The following is a 16,293-nucleotide window of genomic DNA, read 5'->3' as shown; positions in this document are numbered from 1 at the left end:
AAACAACTCTGGATGTACTGCCTTTAAGAGCTGTAACACTCACTGCAGAGGTCTGCAGCTTCACTCCTGAAATCAGCAAGACCACGAACCCACCAGAAGGAAGAAACTCTGGACACATGTGAGTATCTGAAGGAACAAACTCCGGACACGCCATCTTTAAGAACTGCAACACTCACCACGAGGGTCAGCGGCTTCATTCTTGAAGTCAGCGAGACCAGGAACCCACCAATTCTGGACACAATATGGATGAATCTCAGAAACATGATGTTCAGCAAAAGAAGCCAGACATATAGGGCGCTTGCTGTACAAATTTTATTTACAAAAACAGGTGAAAGTGGTAGTGACCAGAAGTTGGCATGAGGGGGCTTTTGGGTGCTGGCCGTGTTCGTTTGAGTTCTGTTCACGTAAGTGTGGAGTTTCAGCAGGCTATACTGTATATGTGCTTTTATAAAATGTGCATCGTACTTTAATAAAATGTTTTTTCTATTTTAATTTTTTTGAATTCAGACTTTTGCTGTTATCTAACAAAGCGTATTGATTTTATATGTAGAATCCAAAAGGTGTTAATGTAGGTGTGGTTATAACAGTGCCAAATAATTCTGATTGTCACCTTTTGGCACCAATATGTAATCCAGTGCTTACCCAGGACTGGTGGTGAAAGTGGACTGTCCGAGGCACAGCCAGGAGTGCGTTGTCTGTGGGAATTTTTTTTTTGGGTGAAGTGTCATTTTGTTGTCTAAGCTGATGTGATATCTGCTCACTGCAACCTCCACCTCCTGGATTCAAGCGATTCTCCTGCCTCAGCCTCGTGAGTAGCTGGAACTACAGGCACGCGCCACCATGCCTGGCTAATTTTTTTTTTTTTTTTGAGACAGTGTCTTGCTCTGTAACCCAGGCTGGAGTGCAGTGGCGTGATCTTGGCTCACTGCAACCTCTGCCTCCCAGGTTCTAAGCCATTCTCCTGCCTCAGCTTCCTGAGTAGCTGGGACTACAGGCGCATGCCACCTCACCTGGCTAATTTTTTGTATTTTTAGTAGAGACGGGGTTTCACTATGTTGGCCAGGCTGGTCTTGAACTTCTGACCTCGTGATCCACCCGCCTCAGCCTTTGGAAGTGCTGGGGTTACAGGCATGAGCCACCGTGCCAGGCTGTGTGCAGTGAATTTAAAACAATAATAAAATGGACTAAGAGTGAGTTTGCTTTTTAATTATTACTATGCACTGGCAATTCTTAACAATATCAGTGATAAAATACACCCCTCTCCCCAGTAAATAATTTGCTAATCTAAGTTCTAAACAACTGCTGTGACTACTGTTGAGCTGAACTGGCTGTTCCCACTGCCCTGCCCTTAGTAGGCCAACGACGGGAGTAGTAGCTGTCATTATAGGTGTAGGTATTTGTAGGTATGTGCATTGTATCAGAGACTGAACTTGGTCCTTTTTGTACATAAGTTTCATTTTTCCTAAGATATCTCTGTCACCCAGGCAGGAGTGCAGTGACACAATCATGGTTCACTACAGCCTTGCCTCCACCTCGCTGGGTTCAAGACATCCTTCCACTTCAGCCTCCAGACTAGCTGGGACTACAGGCTCCCGCCACCAAGCCCAGCTAAGTTGTGCATTTTTTGTGGAGACAGGGGTTTCATTCACCATGTTGCCCAGGCTGGTCTCAAACTCCTGGGCTCAGGAGATCACCTGCCTCTGCCTCCCAAACTGCTGGGATTACAGGTGTGAGCCACTATGCCTGGGCAGTATATAAGTCTTTCTTACACCTCAGAGCTGTATGCATTAGGTATTATCATTCCCATTTTACAGACGAGAAAATTGAGGGTTGTAGAAGTTAAGGGACTTGCTCAAATTCACTCAGCTAGTAAAGATAAGAGGGAGGGAGGATGTATCTAAGTCTCCTGAGTCAAAGCCCACTTTTCCACTGGGCTTTTTAGTCCCTGGGTACCAACTGCCACACAGAAGGCCCTTGATATGTATTCGCTGAATAAAAGGGTAAGTGGATGAAAACTTGATCGTTTTTTAAATTAGTTACTTTTTTATTTTTTAAAATGTCAATTTTTATTTTAGATTTGGGGTACATGTGCAGGTTTGTTACATGCATATAACAAACTCATTAAAAGATGTAGTTGCACTATTGATAGTAAGTATAAATTGGAGACAACCCAAATACCTATTGATAGTTGAATGGAGGAATAGGTTGTGGTTTTGTCACACAATGGAATACCTCAATGTGTGATGCTGAGGTTTGGGAAACGATTGATCCCGTCACCCAGGTACTGAGCATAGTGCCCAATAGTTAGTATATGAACCCTTGGCCCCACTCTCTCCCTCCCTTTTTAGTAGTCCGTAGTGTCTATTGTTGATATCTCTATGTCCATGAGTGCTGCAGGTTTAGCTCCCACTTGTAAGTAAGAGCATGTAGTATTTGATTTTCAATTCCTGCATTAATTCGCTTAGGATAATGGTCTCCAGCTGCATCCATATTGCTGTAAAGGATATGACTTCATTGTTTTTGTGGCTGCATAGTATTCCTATGGTGCATATGTACCACATATTTTTAAATCCAGTCCACCATTGATGGGCACCTGGTTGATTCCATGTTTTGGCTATTGTGAATATGGCTGCAATGAACATATGAGTATATGTGTCTTTTTGGTAGAACAATTTATTTTCTTTTGGGTATATACCTAGTAATAGGGTTGTGGGTTGAATGGTAATTCCGTTTTTAGCTCTTTGAGAAATCTCCAAACTGCTTTCCACAGTGGCTAAAATAATTTACACTCCCACCAACAGTGTGTAAGCATTCCCGTTTCTCTGCAGCCTCACCAGCATCTTTTGTTTTTTGGCTTTTTGATAGTAGCCATTCTGACTGGTGTGAGATGGTATCTCATTGTGGTACTGAATTGCATTTCTCTAATGTTGATCATTATTTTATTTCAAGGAGGAGGTTCCATATGAATATAACTTCTTGCCTAAGTTGGTTTAGGTAAGAAGACTCTTCATGTGCCTGTTTCCTTCAAATTTTAAGGGTAAGTCTCTTGAAAAGTATAGTTATTTATCTGCTTATGTTTCATATATGTAATCTACATCTCACAAATATTTTAAGTAGTTTTTATGACTCTCATCTTACAGATGAGGGAACTTTGGCTTGAGCACTCAAGTAATGAAGCAATGGTCATGCAGCTAGTATGAGTGTAGGAATTAAGAGTGGTTACTAAAATGAACTTTGAGGTCTAGAAGACCAGTGTTGGCTTTACCTCTTAGCAATGTGACTTCAAAAATATTAGTGACATTTTTTGAATCTCAGGCTTATAAATCAAACAGGACTTCTATAAATAGGAATTATACTAGTGTTTTCCTAAGAGGCTGCAAACTCAAATGCCTGCAGGAGCCAGGAGTAGGGAGCTCTGCAATGTTGGTCAATCACTTGGCTCTTGCCTGGTACAATACTGAGGGAGGCAGTGCTGGGAATGGAGGCTGGGTTGGACTTCACTTTTCAGGCCTGTGCTCATTCATTCCAGCATTCTCTCAGTCAGTATTTCTGAAGCACACAGGATGTTTAATATGGGTCTAAGCTCTGGAAATGCAAATTTGAATAAGGCTTACACCTTTTCTGCTTTTGAGGGAAACAAACTTGGAGACAACCAGTGAAAACATAGATTATATCTTTAAGTTCTGGGAATCTCATCACAGCAATTCTAAGACTAAAGAGGCTGTGGACAGCTCTTGGAGCACATCTTCTATTTTTTAGTAGGACAATACCAAAATGATTCCAGCCTGGCAAAGAACTCTGTTTCAGTAAAGCCCTGGAGAAAGTGCATTTTATCATATTCCTCTGGAATTCACTGGGCACTTACAGACACTCAAGGCTGGGAGTCAAGTCATTGAGTCAGTCAACAAACCTGTAAGCACAGTGCTGCTCACCCGCAATAGGCTCTTTGGGCCTGATGAAGCATGGGACAGCAATGGATGTGGGCCCAGTCCTGTCCTCTAGAGGTTCACAGCCTAAGACAGGCAAGCACATTCAGATAGACACCTACAGACCAGAATAATAACATCAACCAAGCAGCACACTCCTGGGGTCTCTGCACACCACACAGTATCTCTCATACCTCCTAGATCCCCCCTCATCCACCCACTTTTGTCTCTCCTGTGCGCGCTCACCTCTGCCCTCATTCACTCTCTTTCCTGGAAAACCCAGGCCAGGAGCCTTCTCATCCACTGTTCAAAATGGACCTATGTATACCAATATGTTTATCTTTGGGCTTCCTGAACAAATACTTCAGTCTATTCGTGGACACACACCTCATTCAGCTCTTATCACTGCAGATCGCTGATGTGGGCCTCCAGCTGCTTGTTTATGTGTGTTCTTGGTTGTTTGAGGGTCACTTGTGTTTATCTGTGTGGATGGGAGCAGAACAAGATATGTGAGTAGTTGTGAGTAAGATCCATCTTAGGCCAGACATGGTGGCTCAGGCCTGTAATTGAAACACTTTGGAAGGCTGAGGTGGGAGGATCAACATGATGCTGGGAGTTGGAGATTCACCTGGGCAACATAGCAAGAGCCTGTCTCTAAAATAAATAAATAAGTAAATAAATAAATAAATGAATGACTCATCTAGTTTCAGAAAGGACTCCAGTGGCCTATTTGGATAATAAAAAAATAAAGCAGTATAAGTTTAAAGTAGTGAGAAAAGAATAAGAAAATTAGAGGTCAGGGCTAAGCGGAACAGGAGTCAGGCAAAAAGAAAACCTGCATTCCTTAGTGACCTCTCACTCACTGGGTGAATAATGTGTGCATATGAATGTGTGGGTTTTAAGCTAAGAGTATTCCAGATACTTGTACATCTATTTCTTGTCCTCCCAGGGTTGACTGAGTTCTCTGTCCCAGTTCCCCTCAGTCTTACTTGGTGGGGGACGAAGCGGGAGAGATTCATTCCTCTCCCTTCCCAGCAATCTTATCGTCTCCTTCCTCACTCCACCAACTGGTCATTTTTGCTGTTTTGGCTTTTTGTTCAGGTGTGTTTTGGGAGTCGAGACTGAAAGATTAGCCAGGGTAGAGGAGGGAGAAAATACTACCTCTCTTCTCATCTGCCCAGGAAAGCCTAAGGGAAGAGGAGGTATTGCAGGAGATGGTGGGAAAATGGAAGAAGGATGCTTGGCAGAAGGCAGGAGCAGAGGGTCACTCTAGTGACTTGGAAGAAGTGTTGGAGGTGAGCATGGGATAGGAAAGATCAAATCATTGGAGGAAAGATGAGAGAGACCTTTGGAACAGAGAAAAGCTCCAGGCCATAGCCCAGAATGCCAGTAGGGAGCCTGAGGTGGGCTCCACAAGGAGGGCTGCTGGTGGGTGTGCCCTTGTTGGCTCCAGGGTGAGGACACCAAGGGAAGGCAGGGAGGAAGAGCTCCATTCCATGAAGAATGAGGCCAGTGTCTTGGCTGAGGCAGTGATGGGGGAGGCTGACCAGATTTGGATCAGAAATTACTTTACTTAAGCTAAGCAGAGCCAAACATCCAGATTCATGGGTATAGTTATTCCATAGCAGCCTGGCGATAGCCAGGGCCCTGGAAGATGAAGAGACCAGTTCTGAAGTCCTGGACTGTGTTATCTACAGAAAGACTCTGTTGATTTCTTGAGGTTTTGTGCAAAATAATACAATGAAACCTCAATAGAACCTTGCGATTCCATCCATTAGTGTTGTTAACTAAACCCATTAGAATTGCATAGGGGCCTTCCACTTCCTGAGGAAAAGCCACCTTCTTGTTGAAGGATAATGAGGCCCATGGCCCTACCTGTATTGAGATGGTCCAAAGGTGACCAAGAGTGAATAGAGTTGAGGGAAGGAGCCAATCCTTGCCCGAAGTCTCCCTTGTCTCTCTTTACTGGAAAAATACCATCTACTTTGTTATTGCATTGCAGGAAACTCAGGACTTATTAGAGGGTCACCCATGAGTTTGGCTAGTTCACTGTAATAGCATAAGATACTTCTAAGTTTAATTGCTTGAGAGAAAAGCATGTGTTCTGTGTGAGGCCGGAAAGGGTCATGGAAGGAGAATAAGATGGATTATGAGTTCATGCATGAGCATGGAAGCTGGAACCACTCCAGACCTTCTCACTCAAAGCTCCTTCTATGTTCCCACCACCTGCCAAGCTCCCATACTTTTCAAGGATTTTTCCTCATATGATCTGGAATGGGTCTACGGTTGTTTATGGAAGCCTTTGGATCAAGTGTTGTGCCTTTTACAAGGGTGTAGCAACTGTTTCAGTTTCAAGTGGGACACACAAATTTTGTCACTGTTTTGGAATGTGCTTGGTGGGAGGTGGCAATCAGGTTATTGGATGATAGCTGATGTTTATGGATTGAAGGTTAGAGGAGAGTGACCTAGGTAGGAACTTTAGAGACAGAAAACCCTGTGTTTTTCTCTGCATGTAAATTGTAATTGACTTACAGGAGAGGGATTCCAGTGTTCTGGATCCTGATATATAAGAAGATATAAACATGAATAAATAAAAATCTGGGTTATACCTCTTCAGTTTTCCTTTTTATTAAACCTCTATGTCTTGGAAGAAATACAGCAGATTCTCACACTCTGTAGATATCCATAATTAAGTTCTACATGTTGAAGATGAACAGTTCTTAATGGAATCTGTGATTTGAGGGCTCTGGGGTGGGGCTCGACACATGTGAACGAAGGAGAGGAGTGAGCTTCCAGGTGTTTTTCCTCACATGTGAAATTGCACTTGCCAGCATACTCTAAAGAATTCTGGAAATTACCACGCTTTCCTCAATGTTACTGAGAAAAATTGGTATGCTGGAAACAGGCATGCAGGGTAATTTGCAGAATCTCAGAATCAGGGAAGCTATAAACATGGGCATTTGCAGTCCTAAGTTGCAACATGTTTCTGACTCAGTCTCCTGCCAGTGTGGATTTATACTTGCCCGTGATTTATTGTTTCTGGCTTACCCTGGGGCACTGGAGGGTTTGGAGACTTCTGCCAGAACACCTAGGATATGTAAAGAATTCCTGCCAGAAAACAATAAAAACACTACCAACCTAACACAAAGGGGCTATGCTTGCACTGTTTGAGAAAACACTACCCTCTTGGAGAACTCCATTGTCAGCTGGTGAGAGGGCAAGGTCAGTCCCTCTATGACCAGGTAGCTTCTGAGGGTTCCCATGACCTTGGGCTGTCCAGCCCTGACACCCAGACAGCTGTTTGCAGTTGGTTATCAGGGGAATATGTGAGAAAATATAGATGAATTACTAGTTTTCACTACTAGAAAACACCCGAACATCTATAACCAATGAAATCTTGCCTCTTTATACACTATCTTAAAGATAATCATATGTAAATTATCTACCTAGTAGCTTTCCACAAATTTAAATGTTGAGCTGCTTAATTACAATCTCTGAATTTGCCCTTTCTCCTGCTTCTACAGAGAGCTCTTGCATGGTGGTAGAACCGAGGACAGCCTAGACCTTCTGATTGTCAACTCCTTGTTCCATTGTGTCCAAACCTACATGTCTGAACTCCTCTCATCAAAGACTTCTCAAAGTTATTAATAACTGGGGATCACGTATTCAGTAATTACACACATCAGGCTCCATGCTTTCTGTGCAGTATGTAAATTGATTCATTGTCATACTAATTATAAATGGCTAGTATTATTGCTGCTTTACAAATGAGGCATATGACACACAGGGAGCTAAATAATTTGCCTAAGGTCACCCCACTTGTAAATGATGAAGCCAGGACTCAAGGCCAGGTCTGGCCACCCCTGAATTTAATAGCTTTATCCTCTATATCTCTGTTTTCTCCCAGACCAAGGTGTCTGTACCTCTCTGCCAACAGAGAAAAGGGTTCATTCATTCATCAAATGTTTGTTGAGCATCTATTGTGACTCAGGCAATATCCTAGATCAAGGATTGTCAAACTTTTTCTATAAAGGACAAGAGAGCAAACATTTTAGGTCTCCTGGGTCATACGGTCAGTCACTGTGATTCAACTCTGCTGTTGTAGTACAAGATTGTGAAAGCAGCCATAGATGATATGTCAATGAATGAGCATGGTTGTGTTCCAATAAAATGTCACTTGCGAAAGCAGGCTGTGGGCTGGGTTTGGGCCAAGAGTTCTATCCCTGCTCTAGGCACTGGAGTTACAATAGCAAAAAATTAAAATAAAGTAAAATAAAAACACAAAAATGCCTGCCTTTGTGGTGCTTCCATTCCAGAATGGGGAAGTAATTGTATTTCTGTCCCGTTTATCATGTAAAAATTGTCATAGGATCTTGGAGTTGCTGAGCACCTAGAGGTGATCTGTTCAGCATTTTCCTCCCAGGGCAGCTCTCCACTCAGAACTCTCTTGGCTGGTGAGGGTTCATTCTGTGTGCCCGGATCTAGTGTCACCTCACCTTCCAGGGGACCCATCCTTGTCACATAGTCCTTGCTTATCTGTCTTCCTGACAATTTAACTCACATCCTACCCTGTTTGGGCAGAGGGCCCCACATTTTAGCATATCATAATCACTTTTGGGGCTTGAAACACTTTGATGGGCTCCACTCTCGAGATTCTGATTCAATAGGTCTGGAGTGAGGCCCAAGATTTTCCCTTTCTGACAAATTCCCAGGTAATTCCAATGCTGCTGGTTCCTGGACCACACTTTGAGAACCAGTGTTCTGTAGCAGCAACAAGTGAGCCTAACAACTCCTCTTTCAGTTTTTTCAGATATTTGATCATCTGTTCTGCCTAAGTCTTCTTCCGGCAAACCTCCAAAGCCCTTTGACTTCTCTGCCTATGATAAGTAACTTAGAAATAAACTCTGCCACCACCAGTTGGGTTGAATACCTGGGATACAATGCTGGTAGCCACCAAGGTCACTGCAATTATACACAAACAATGAAAAACAGTGAAACCATGTCTCAGGGACAAAGGGGTAAGAACCAGTGCAATGCTGAGACTGTGGAAAAGAACACTGTGACAGCTGTCAGCAAAAGCATTTCAGTTCCCCTTCTGCATGTGAGTTTGGGCCAGTCATTTCCCCTCCCTGCCTGTCAGATTTCTCATCTGCAACGTGAAAGTTGTCTGAGGTCTTTCCAGCAGTGGGACTGCTGATATTCTTTAGTAGGTGGGGAAATCTAATAGACATCCCTGGTACCTCCCTCCTGGGGATATCTTAGGGGAACACTTACGCAGGTTGCTCTCCACTGCCAGCAGTATGCAAGATTTGCCTGTATGTCAACTGTACATTCAGTTCTATTTTCTCCCATGAGTTGCTTTGCACTCACTGAGTTTGTGTTCAAGCCTGATGTGTTATCATCACTGGCTTATGTCAATTAAGGTCCTTTCCTTTGTTCTAGATCTATGAGCAGAATGTTGTTTTGGGACCTCAGGTCAGCATTTTGTAAATGCACAGTGGTAACCTCCTGTTCCTGCCCCTTGGCCCTGTGAAGTAATTCTGTTGGCTTCCAGGACTTTTGCAGGGCCTAACAGTTCGGCAGCTCCAGGACCATCTAAGGTGACTTAAGACTCTTCTTCCATCCTGAGGTTCAGATCTCAGCCACAAAGAAAGAGATCCATGGTTCCTGGCACCTGGCTTCTGGAAAGTTAAACTGTCGTCTACCTCATTGTCTGATCAAGCAGCTCAGTAGCCCTTCAGTTTAAATAACAACTACAAAACAAATATCACAGAGGGCTCTTGGCAAGGTTTCTTTAGCCCAGGAAAATGTAACATTCAAATTCTGGGCAATATTGTCACGTGGGCTCAGTTTCCTTCCTGTGAAAAGCTTCCCACAACAATTCCCATAAAGAGAATTAATCTGGCATAAGGAGTTTGGACAAAGAAGGCTGCTAGGTGGGTCAGCCATCCAGCCATCCTCAAAAGTTGCGTAGCAGGAATCTGGTGAGCAACTGAGTTAGTGGCTGCTGGTAGGAAGTTCTGAGGGCATTGGAAAATAAACCTGGTGAGGGAGGAGAACGTACTGCTTAGACCAGCAGCAAATTTGATATGCTTGGTTCATGCAAGAGTTACTTATTCTTTCTAAGCCACCTATAATTATTTCCAGAAAAGGCAATAAATCTCAGTAAAGTATTCAGATTCTGGAGTCAGACCACCATGGGTTTTTAATCTTGGCCCTGTGCTTTTCTCACTGTGTGCCCTTGATCAGGTTTCTTGATCTCTTGAAGCCTTTGTTTTTTCTCTTTGTAAATGAGGAAGATAATACCTACCTTTCCAGAACTGAGGGTTATGGGAGATGATATACATGACAGTGTTCAACCTATAGATGTTAATACTATCACAACCTAGTTCTGGAATATTAGCCCAATTGCTTAATGTGCAATAAGCCTTCAATAAATGTCTTGTGATTAAGTTAGATACTATGGGTAGACATCCCAATTATTGTTTACAAAATATGTGGTAAGAAGTAAAAAATGTATTTGTTGGAGTTCTTCATTCAACAGACCCTTTTATCTCTGAGTAATCTACAGTGCTTTTAGAAGTTTAGAGACCAAGAACATGTGTGAAGTTTAGAATTCCATAAAGAACATTCATACAGAAGGAATCTCAGATGTTGTATACTGAGTCTAACCCACAGCCTACCCAAGGTCATGCAGCAGATTGCTGGCAGAGCACGGATTAGGTACCATCTGACTGGAATTGCTCCAGTGCATGTGTTTTCACTGTTGCTTTACAGACCACTTTTGGGCCACATCATTAAAACCACTCAGGCTAATGGTGCCAAAGCCACAGTGACCTTCATGCTTCAGAGGCCAGGGCCAGAACAGACACAGGAGGGAGTTGGGGGTAGGGTGGGGAGTAACTCAAGGAAGTGGAGAGGCAGTCCTGCAGGCCTTTCTCAACTCAACCCCCAGCCCCCCACACCTTATCTTTGGCCCATCCTCCTCCCATAGCAGCTGTTCATAAGTACAGATATTTGAAGACCTCAGCCTCCTTGCTCATTCAATCGTATGTCATCTGCTTTCCCTTCATGGGAGAACAACTGCCAGAAAAACACTGTAAGGGCAGCCATAAAACTTTCATTGACTCTACTATTTTTGCATCTTTGGTGTTAAAACTTTTGACTCTATCCTGATCAGCTCTCCCTCTCCCTCTCTCAGGTGGTTGCCTTCCCTGGAAATCCATCTGTTCCCAAAGATTCGCTGCAGCAGCATTTGCTAGTTCCCTTGTAACCTCCCAACACTCCCCCAGTGCCCCTCAGGCATTCCCACTGGCCTCGGGTTTCAATCATCAGGTACAACTGGATTTTGATTTGGAGACCTGGAGGCTTTCAGTTCTATAATGGGCCATAATTTTTTTCTCTCTATTTATACCACAATTTATTTTCTTCCCTTAACTCTCTTTTGCAATAAAACTAGGTCCTTGAGGGCAAGAACATAGGCTTGTTCTCTTTGTGACCCGCCACTGCCTCCTTGCCTGGAGCAGTGTCTGTCATGTAGCAAATGTCAGTACATGGGTGAATAAACCCCGGAATGGTTCTCTCTTCTAATACTTCATTCCTTTGCTAGGGCTGCTCTGGGTGGGCTTGGAAAGAGAAGCAAGGAAGGCTCAGAAATAGACTGTTCAATGTAGGGGTGCTACAATATAGGGTTTTTTTTTTTTGGTGCTGGAGTCAATTATTCCTGAAGGGTTGCTAGTGGGGAAGCAGCTCTCTTTAGTCAATACCAAGCTTTGTAAGTAGTTCCTTTTTTTTTTTTGAGACAGAATCTCTCTGTGTTGTCCCGGTTGGAGTGTAGTGGCATGATCTCAGTTCACTGCAATCTCTGCCTCCCAGGTTCAAGTGATTCTCCTACCTCCGCCTCCCAAGTATCTAGGATTACAGGTGCCCACCACCATGCCTGGCTAATTTCTGTATTTTTAGTAGACACAGGGTTTCACCATGTTGGCCAAGCTGGTCTCTAACTCCTGACCTCAAGTGATCTGCCTGCCTCAGCCTCCCAAAATGCTGGGATTACAGGCGTGAGCCACTGCGCCCAGCCAAGTAGTTTGTTTTATGTAGGAATACTAGTATCAGTCATCAAAGGGTTTAAGAAAGTGTTTTTTTCATAATTTTTCAGATAATATATTTTTTCCTCTGATCCATCTATCTAACATTTATTGAAAGCCTTTTACATAAGAAGCACCATGCTGACAGTTTAAACTGCAAAGATGAGTGAAGCACAGACCTGCGCTAAGGATCACTTACAGCTGTCACCTTCCCAATACATCAATTCAAAGACAATGGAGTGTAAGGAGAGAGAAGTGTGCAGAGTATTATGGGGACGCTGCAGTGGTCACTAGACTAGCTTGGCAGTACCGGATGGGAGTAAGACCTTAAATAACAGGGAGAGTGGAGAGAGGAGAACACTGAAAGCAGAGGAGCCAAACAGCAAGAGCGAAGGCCTGGGAAGAGGGCCATGGTGGCAGGTGCATAGGAACTGCCAGCTCATCAGCACTGCCAGGGCATGAAGTAAGAGGCAGGCGGTGGCCAGAGGAGACAGAGAGGTATACAGGGGAGATCTTGGAGAGCCTGATCAGCTACTAGACAACAAAATGCATTTGTTTATTTGTATTTTAAAATACAATCAATATAGGTATACTCCCCCACAAACAAATTTTAAGAAGAAAAATTTCAACTAAAAACCTATTAATATAAAATGAATCTAAAATTCTCTCTTTGACCACCTCCCTGTCCCCAGTTCTTTTTTTACAAAGGAAATAAAAACAACTTCTAAGTCATCTTTGCAGGAAAGAAAAATGCAATACTAGAATATTTGAATATTTATATGTATATATTTTTTATTGACACTAATGATCATGTACAATGTTTATTATTCTGCACTTTGATGTTTTAGGTGTTTTCTTTTTACCTTATGTATTAGAAGTCTTCTTAACTTATCAATAATAACCTTGAATGTAAATGAACTATATTTTCCATTTAGAAGCTAGAGACTGGCTGAATGGATAAAAACAACAAGACCCAACTATATGCTACCTCCAAGAAACTCACTTCACCTGTAAAAACACTCAGCTGAAAGTGAAAGGCTGGAAAAAAGATATTCCATGCAAATGGAAACCAAAAGTAAGCAGGAATAGCTATACTTATATTACACAAAATAGACTTCAAGTTAATAGCTGTATGAAAAGACGAAGAACATATATAATAATGAGACCAATTTAGCAAAAGAATATACAAATTATAAATATATATGCACCCAACAGAGAAGTACCCAGATACATAAAGCAAATATTAGATCTAAAGAAAGAGATAGACCCCCATTACAATAATAGTTGGGGATGTCAACACCCCACTGTCAGCATTGGACATACCATCTAGACAGAAAATCAACAAAGAAACATCAGATTCAGACCACACCATAGACCAAATGGACCTAACAGACATTTCCAGAACATTTCACCCAACAGCTGCAGAATACACATTATTTTCATCGGTACATGGAACACTCTCCAGGGCTGACCATATGGTAATACACAAAACAAGTCTCAAAAATTTTTTAAAAATCAAACTCATATCACGCATTTCATCTGACCATAATGAAGTAAAATGACGTCAATAACAAGAGGAACACTTAAAAGTATACAAATACATGGAAATTAAACAACATACTCTTGAATAACCCATGGGTGAAGGAAGAATTTAAGTATAAAATTAAAAAATTCCTTGAAACAAATGAAAATAGGAACACAGCATACCAAAATCTATGAAACATAGCAAAAGCAGTATTGAGATAAGTTTATAGCAATAAATGCCTACATCAAAAAACTAGAAAGATTTCAAATAAACAACCTAAAAACTTCAAGGAACTAGAAAAACAAGAACAAGCCAAGCCCAAAATTAGCAGAAAAAAAGAAATAATAAGGATCTTAACATTAATAACAAAATTAAGACTAAAAAAAGGACAATAAAACAAAAATGTTTTTTAAATATTAAAAAATACACAAACCGTTAGCTAGACTAATAAAGAAAAAAGAGAGAAGATCCAAATAAATACAATTAGAAACAAAGAGAGACATCACAATGGATACCAAATAAATACAAAGAATCACTAGAGACAAATATGAACAAATATACACCAATAAATTTGGAAACCTAGAGGAAATGGATAAATCCCTGCATACATATGCCCTACCAATATTGAACCAAGAAGAAATAGAAAAACTGAATAGATCAATAACAAGTAACGAGATTGAACCAGTAATGAAAAGTCTTCCAATAAAAAAGTTCAAGATTGGATGAATTCTACTGAACTTGTAAAGAAGAATTAATACTAATTCTTCTCAAGCTATTTCAAAATATTGAAGCAGAGGGAATTCTTCCTCTCTCATTCTATGAGGCCAGCATTATTCTGATGCCCAAACCAACAAGGACACAACAAAAAGAGAAAACTGCAACATCCCTGACAAACATAGACACAACAATTCTCAACAAAATACTATCAAACTAAGCCTAACAACACATCAAAAACATAATTCACCATGATTAAGTGGGATTTATCCCGGGAATGCGAGGACTGTTCAACATACACAAATCAGTAAATGTCATACATCACATCAATAAAATGAAGGACAAAAGCAATATAATCATCTCAACAGATGCAGGAAAACCTTTTGATAAAATTCAACCTCCCTTCATGATAAAAACTCTTTTTTCTTTTTCTTTCTTTTTTTGAGACAGGGTCTTGCTTTGTCACCTAGGCTTGAGTGCAGTGGCATAATCATGGCTCACTGCAGTCTCAACCTCCTGGGCTCAAGCAATCCTCCTGCCTCAGCCTTCTGAGTAGCTGAGACTACAGGTGGAAGGTACTATGCCTGGCTAATTTTTTTTTTAATTCTTTATACAGACAAGGTAAAAACTCTTAATAAATTTGGTATAGAAAAAGTACCTGAACATAATAAAGGCCATATATGAAAAACTCACAGCTAACATCTTACTGAATGAGGAAAAGCTTTCAGAATTAGAACAAAAAAAAGGATGACAATGCTCATCACTATTAGTCAACATAGTACTAGAAGCCTTAGCCAGAGCAATTAGGCAAGATAAAGAAATAAAGGACATCCAAATTGGAAAAGAGGAAGTCAAATTGTCTCTCTTTACAGATGACATGATTATATAAACCTAAAGACTCTCAAAAAAACCTCAGAACTGATAAATGAATTTAGTAAAGTTGCAGGATACAAAATTAATATACAAAAATCACTGGCATTTTTATACATGAACAATGAGCTAGCTCAAAAAGAAATCAAGAAGACAATCTCATTTATGATAGCTACAAAAAATAAAATACCTACAAATAAGTTTAACCAAGGACTTGAAAAATCTCTACAAGGAAGACATTAAAACATGGATGAAAGAAATTTAAGAAGATACGAACAATAGAAAGACATCCCATCCTCATGAATTGGAAGACTTAATATTGTTAAAATGACAATACTACCCAGACAACAGATTCAACACCATCCCTATCAAAATACCAAGGACATTGTTCACAGAAATAGAAAAAAAATTTTTTTTTTTAAATTTGCATGGAAACACAAAGGACTCGGAAAGGATAGCTAAAGCAAACCCGGGCTAAAAGAATAAAGCCAGAGGTATCACTACCAGACCTCAAAATATACTTTAGGTCAGGTGCAGTGGCTCATGCCTGTACTTTCAATACTTTGGGAGGCCAAGGCAGGGGGATCATTTGATCCTAAGAGTTTGAGACCATCCTGGGCAACATAGTGTGACCCTGTCTCTATTACAAAAAATTTTTAAATTAGTTTTTAAAAACAAAACAAAATATACTACAAAGCTGTAGTAACCAGAATAGCATAGTACTGGCACAAAAACAAGTACACAGACCAATGGAATACAGAGAATCCAGAAATTAATTTACATGTATCAAGCAACTGATTTTTGACAAAGGTGCCAAGAACAATCATTGCAGAAAGGACAGTCTCTTCAATAAGCAGTGCTGGGAAAACTGGATATCCACACGCAGAAGGATAAAACTACACCCCCACCTCTCACCCTATAGAAAAATTAACTCAAAATAGATCAAAGACCTAAATGTAAGACCTGAAACAATAAAACTTCTAGAAAGAAACACAGGGGAAGTGTTTCAGGTTATTGGTCTGGGAAAATATTTTATGAATAAGACCTCAAAAGCACAAGCAACACAAGGAAAAATAAATGAAATTATACTAAATGAAAAAGCTTCTACACAGCAAAGGAAACAATCAACAGAGTAAGAAGACAACCTACAGAATATGAGAAAATATATGCA

The 16,293-nt window shown here is 41.0% G+C and overlaps 1 long non-coding RNA gene across 3 annotated transcripts in view; it reads left to right on the top strand.

Annotated features, from left to right (window-relative positions):
- Positions 1-16,293, top strand: part of LOC105378920 (uncharacterized) — a 58,385-nt gene that overhangs the window by 38,878 nt on the left and 3,214 nt on the right. Inside the window, exons 4-6 of one of the 3 annotated variants that reach the window (XR_947729.3) lie at positions 2,950-3,037; positions 5,108-5,221; positions 7,451-8,170. This is a non-coding gene — a long non-coding RNA (uncharacterized LOC105378920). Of the gene's footprint in view, positions 1-2,949; positions 3,038-5,107; positions 5,222-7,450; positions 8,214-16,293 lie in introns of those variants that run through there. The other 2 variants (XR_947728.3, XR_001738197.2) reach the window with 2 other exon arrangements.

Source organism: Homo sapiens, chromosome 1 (assembly GCF_000001405.40).
Source record: "Homo sapiens chromosome 1, GRCh38.p14 Primary Assembly".
Lineage (NCBI taxonomy): Eukaryota > Metazoa > Chordata > Mammalia > Primates > Hominidae > Homo > Homo sapiens.
This window is presented reverse-complemented; position numbering and strand designations above follow the sequence as displayed.